The sequence below is a fragment of the Homo sapiens genome, chromosome 3, assembly GCF_000001405.40.
Source record: "Homo sapiens chromosome 3, GRCh38.p14 Primary Assembly".
NCBI lineage: Eukaryota > Metazoa > Chordata > Mammalia > Primates > Hominidae > Homo > Homo sapiens.
The window spans coordinates 180,245,974-180,252,534 of record NC_000003.12 but is presented as its reverse complement, the minus strand read 5'-3'; positions in this window follow the sequence as shown (position 1 = coordinate 180,252,534).

Genomic DNA, 6,561 nt, shown 5'->3' with positions numbered 1-6,561 from the left:
TTCTTATTACTGACTTGTAAGAATTCTTTATATATTCTGAATAGAAGTTATTTGTCAGAAACCTTTCTTGCTTTATCACACTGGGAAGGATATCTAGTACACTGCTAAATAGAAGTGGTGAGACCAGACATTCTTACCTTGTTGCTGACCTTAGGAGTATATCTTTCACCACCAACGTGATGTCATTTAGTAGGTTGTAGAAATTCTCTTATATTTATTTTGTGAAGGACTTTTTTTACTAGGACATAATTCCTTTGGTACCATAGGAAGCAGCTCATCTGTGATATTTACCTTTCCCCTCTTCTACTTATGTACATAGAACCCTTATGTATGAAAATAGAAGATGGAGTTTTGGAGTCAAGCTCTACCGGCCATACTGAAATCAAATTTTTTCTTCTAAGGGAAATGACAAATACTGGCATATGTGCCTGTATTCTCCTACTTATGGCAGAAATTAATAGTTGATCACGGCATTCTTTTCCAGGGAACCTAAATGCAGACACAGAAACCAGGTCATCACAGGGTCCAGGCAGCCTCTACAGTTGGCATCTGTGAGGAATATTTTCTGTCTCTGAACTGCAATATTTCCACATGAAACAACAAGAAAAAAATATTCAATTTTGTGAGAGATACAGATGTAGGTATAATATCATTTGGTATCTGGATATGGTCAGGAAGCAGCTGTAGAGAATCATCTTACAGCTTTAAGGGACTTTTCATAACTATTCCTCCAAATAACCTTGTGGAGAGAGTGGGGATTTGGGGAAACCGGATCATTTACAACCCTGTAGAACCATTGGATGGTCCAGAAGAAAGTCTCCTTTGAAATCATCTAACTCAGGAGTTTTCAGACTTTAAATTTTCTTAGCTTCAGAATATTTTCTTTTAAAAAATATTACCAAAAAATTTCAATATATAAGTGCAATGTTTGTGTCTCTGCTAAATTCATAGGCTGCAATCCTCACAACCACAGTGATAATATTAGAAGGTGGAGACTTTGGGAAGTAATTAGTTCATGAAGGTAGAGCCCTAGTGAATGAGATTGATGCCTTTATAGAAGGGCCCCCAGAAAGCTCTCAGTCTCTTTCTGCCATGTGAAGATACGATAAGAAGTCAGCAGTCTGCAGTCTGGAAGGGGGCCCTCCCCAGAACCAACCATATTGGCACACCGATCTTGGACTTCCAGACTCCAGAACTGTGAGAAATAAACTTTGGTTGTTAATAAGCCACCAGGACCATGGTACTTTATCATAGCAGCTCAAACTAAGACAGTAGGAAGGTAAAAGTAGAACAGTTGTAATCTCCCCATAGCCCACTCCTTCATGCCTTGAAAGCTCCTGAGCTATCTCATTGAAAAATGCTAAGGCTTCATTAAGCAGTGTTTCAAAACCACACACTTGTCCAACTTTCACTTAATGAATGTTGAAATATAAGGAGTAATGTAAAGTGCCTAAGGGACTTGAAGACAGATTATTTGATCATAGTCTGATATTTTCTTCTATACCATATGCATGCACAGAAAACATATACATTATATACTTGTGAGTCATTAATGATAAGAAGAATAATAACTACATAGCCACATAATATTTTACAAAACACAGTGTCACTAATGATATCACTTGGCATCCATAACACCTTCATTTCCAAAGTGGGAACTGAGGCTCAAAGAGAAGTAATTCACCCAAGGCCACAGAGCTGATATGTTGTTAGGTTGGGACTCAAGCGCAACTCTATTCTTAGGTGAATGTATAAATATAGACACCTACTATGTACCCACAAAATTTAAAAATAAAAAATAAAACAATAAAATAAAAAATCTCTCCAGGTGGTACTAGTGTGCAGCTAACATTGTGAAACACTGGCCTACAGAATAGAATCCTAGCTCCTTCATATAGCACACAAATCCTCTGTGATAGCTTCAGGTCCAGCTCTCCAATCTTACCCTCTGCTGCTTGGCAACCCGACACTTTGCACTCCAGGATCGTAATAGTAGGAGGTTATTGAACCTAATACATTTTCCACTCCTTTTCACATTGTATTCCTTCTCTCTTTTCATATATCTAATGAACTCCTAGTCATCCTTCAAGACCCTGCTCAAGTAGTGACTCTTAGGTGAAGATTTCCCTGACCTCTTTAAACAGAGTTTATGGCTCATTCCTCTGGTTCCACTTTACCATGTACACTATTCTATTATTGTGTTTACAATAGTGACTCACTTAATTATCTCCCTTAGTGAACTTGGCAGAGCAATGTCTTGCTCATATTTTTTGCATGATGGGGGTGGAGTTTTTCTGTCTACCACCACCTGTCATTATCTGCCTTTTTGACTCAGTACCAATTTTCCTGATTTTGTGGGATCATTATTTCTTTCATATATGAAGGAATCAGGAACCTTGCTTAAGAGCATCCTCCCCTGCGTATTATCTGTAACAGAATTGCAGGGACTGGCCACAAAAGCAAGTTAAGTCAGCAGTCTACAGATTGACACAGCCTGAGTTTCTGGTAGTTGATCAATTAAACCACATGTATTTATTATGTGTCTGTTTTATGCTTGGCATCTCAGTATTAAAACACCAGGTAATCTCTACCTAAAGTTACTCACTCTCTAGTTTTCCACCTTGACTCATATAAAGGACCTGAAGCATATCCAGCATATTTGCAACTTAACTGAGAAGTAGAGAGCTGATAATCTGTACCCTAAAAATCTTAAAATATGAAGAATAAGCAATAAGCCATTGTATGGTTTGTTTATAGGGGTCTTTTTAAACTCCTGGTGGATGTTTACAATTCCTCCATTACAGTTTCAGCTGGTTAGTATAAGATTTTGAACCCTGTTAAAACGCAATAACCTTGGAAAGGAAAACATTAAGTTGTTGCTAGCTAATTTTACCTCCCTGTTAAAGAAATGCCTAGGAGTAGATTTTTAGGAAGACAAAGGATAAGAGCAAGAAGGAGTGTAGAAAAGAGGCATTAGCAAGTAGGTAAAAAATTAAAGAATGAAATACTAGGAAAATGAATGATTCCACAAGGCTTAGGTCAAATATTGTGGTACATTGTGTGGATGAGCAAAATTAAGGTAAATTTTTATGTAAGAATAGAAAATATTAAAATCTGGCTATTTCTAATAATTTTCAAAAATTTATGTACTAACATAAAAATTAATTATGTACTGGAATGAGCAAATCAAAAGGTTATTGATGATAAAGCCACTATGTCAGAGATAACCAAAATATCCAATAATAGGGATAGTTTAATAAAATAAATTATTTTATTATTTGTAAGCACTGAACTTTTATACAACTATTATAAATAATGATCTAGAACAGTATATAATTTCTTAAGATGTTATAGATTAGGAAAGATATGCATGATATATGAAGCAAAAAAATCAGATTATAAATAATATATATGATCCTAGATTTTTGGGAAAAATATATGTACATACACATGTATACATAGAAAGAAAGATCTAACCACACTGTTAGCAGTGCTTAGTTTTGTAGGAGTCTGGGGTGGAAAAACTACAAATATTATAAGGAAGTAAAGAACTTTATGCTTATCTATGTCCTTTAATTTTGTTTTAAACTACAATTTAAAAACTATTATAAACTTCAAAGGAAGTCTAGGAAAGTTATAAAATTATAGTGCATTCTGTCATATTACATGGATTATTAATTATAGAGAATGTGAGGGAAATACTGAGTGTTTGACTAAGAGCCCCAGTGAGGGTTCTGCTAAGAGAAGTGCCAAAGTTGGCTGAAGGATCACTATTTGCAAGATCCTGCTTATATGACAAGAGCAATCAAACAAACCCAAAGCATCCACATAATTCAAAAAATATTTAAAGTCAAATAAGATTTGCAAGGTAGACAAACTTTTACATTCATAGAAATAAACACCTGTTACAAGGATGAAAATTCAGGAACACAGGACCACTGAAGATACAAGCAAGAAATGGTACCAAATGCCAAAACAGATAATATACAAATGTGGGAAAAATTGTATATGTAAGTGAAATTACATGTGCCCTACATGTTTCTACTTCTAAGTCTGGGAAAATTATCTATCCTAGGCACACTGTTAATAGAAACCATAAAAACTAACTGTAAATTTAAAACAAAAAAAAGTGCTAGCTGGGCACAGTGGCTCACGCCTGTAATCCCAGCACTTTGAGAGGCCGAGGTGGGCGGATCAACTGAGGTCAGGAGTTTGAGACCAGTCTGGCCAACATGGTGAAACCCAGTCTCTACTAAAAATACAAAAAATTAGCCAGGCGTGGTGGCACACACCCGTAATCCCAACTAATCGGGAGGCTGAGGCAGGAGAATCGCTTGAACCTGGGAGGCAGAGGTTGCAGTGAGCTGAGATGGCGCCATTGCACTCAAGCTTGGGCAACAAGAGCAAAACTCCATCTCAAAACAAAAAAAAAAAAAAAAAAAAAAAGAAGTTGCATAGGAACATGTGTTTATTATGACATTTAGTCAGTTTATGATGCAATTCACCATATCTGTCTGTACTTGTCTTATTTTTCCCCCTCCTTGAACTCTAAAGATCAGATATTGGGAACCTGTTCTATTTTCTCCAGTAATTAATTCAAGGAAACAATAGATTGAAGATTAAAATCTCCTTACATAGTTCTTGGATCCTTATTTCTCTGGTAAGCTTACTGACTGCCAATGGCATTAAAAAATACAAGTCTAACTTTTCTACTAACTTCTAAAACCCCTGCTGCAAATAGAATCAAAATTAACAAAAGAAACAACTGAACAACAATACAAAGACCTCTGTGGTGCATTAACACTAGCAGGAATTTAAATGCCACATGCAAATATCAAATGACATTTACAAAGCACATACCTTGTATAATTCTTCTGTTAGCTAATGCAGTAATTACAGATTTATATGTTTCAACAGAATCACCATAGAGAATATAGCAGCCAGGAATATTTCAATCAAAGGGGAAAAGCCACAAAGAATTACTGAAACTGTGACCTACTCAGATATAAAGTTCACCAGGTTTATTCTGCTATTCTGACTGACTGATCCCTTTCATCCTTGAGAATGAATGTAAAAAGTAGGGTACCTGTGTAGAATAAATATCCATATTTATATCTGTATCTATGTATTTATATATCTCTATTTTTATGTGTTTCTATATATGTATATCTGTATATGGGCTTCAGACTGACATACTGAGTACCAGCTCTGGGACATATCCAGATTATAACCAAAGATAACACCTTAACAAGCAAAGCCATACTCTAAAACAGTTCTGTGTAATATGCCATACTGCAATAATGGATAATGGAAACGTCCTATGCCTGCATTATCCAGCAGACTAGCCACTAGCTACACGTGGCCATCGAGCATGTGAAACGTGATTACTGGGACTGAGGAACTGATTTTAAATTTTATTTAATTTTAGTTAATTTAAATTAAAATTTAAATAGCCAGGTTTGTCTGTTCACTACCATATTGGGCAGTTCAGCTCTAAAATAAGGAAACTTATGAAATGACACTGATGAAATGCAATCAAAGTGAAGAAACTTCCTTTTCTTACCAACTGCTTGCATATGAATAAGCTGAGCTTCTCTTCCTTTCTATAGAGTTAAGCCATCCGCATGGATTTATGGCAGGGAAGAAAACAGGTAGAAGATAAACACTGGCTATTTGAGATGCTTAGGATTCCTTCTTGAAGTTGAGGACTGTGTGTTACTTCTCTGTACAGGCGGTAAATAGAGAAGTACTAGAACAGAATAGGTGATCAAGTAATGTTTATTTTTTAATATGTTGAATAAGGTGCTTGTTTATCAAAATAAGAAACAAATCCAGGCATCTGAATTCTATAAATATACAAAAAAATAAGCACACAGTTGACTATGCTCTACTGTAGTTCATGGTTTGCATTAGACTATACTTTGGCTAGTGTATATACCCTGGAAATATTAATATATTGAAAATCACACATTTTAAACTTTATTACTGTTAAGATACATAGAATTTTTTCACAATAATATCTTTAAAGATATTTGATTTAATTTTTTCTTTGATTTCTTCCACATCTATAGAAGAAAGGGCTATATGAAAATAATGTCTCTGTATGTATAAAACTCTGAACACATTACTATTATATTGTTTGATTTGTGTTCTAGGTGTGATTCCAAATGCCTATTTTATCTTATAGTTTAGAGCTGGAAAAAAAGTTTATCTCAATTAATTTTTATGTCCCAAAGAAAAGCTATAGATTTTTGGTCTTCATAGCCAGGAAGTTCTGAGAAACAAAATAAAAGGAATTTCTCATTTGTGGGGGACAATTCCATGGCTCTCTCATGTTTCTGCATGTCATCAAGTGAGACAGTAACTACTTTTTGTTCTGGATTATCTTTTCAAGGATTTGTTTTATAGCAAATAGCCTTGGAAGATAGAAATAGTGTCTCCTTCCAGAGCAAAGTACAGGCATGCCTATTGCCTGCTACAAAGATTTGGGTTCCTTATCTCCTTATGCAGTACAGGAGAGAAACTCTTCATATATCTGTGCAGATATCACCTGACCCTCTT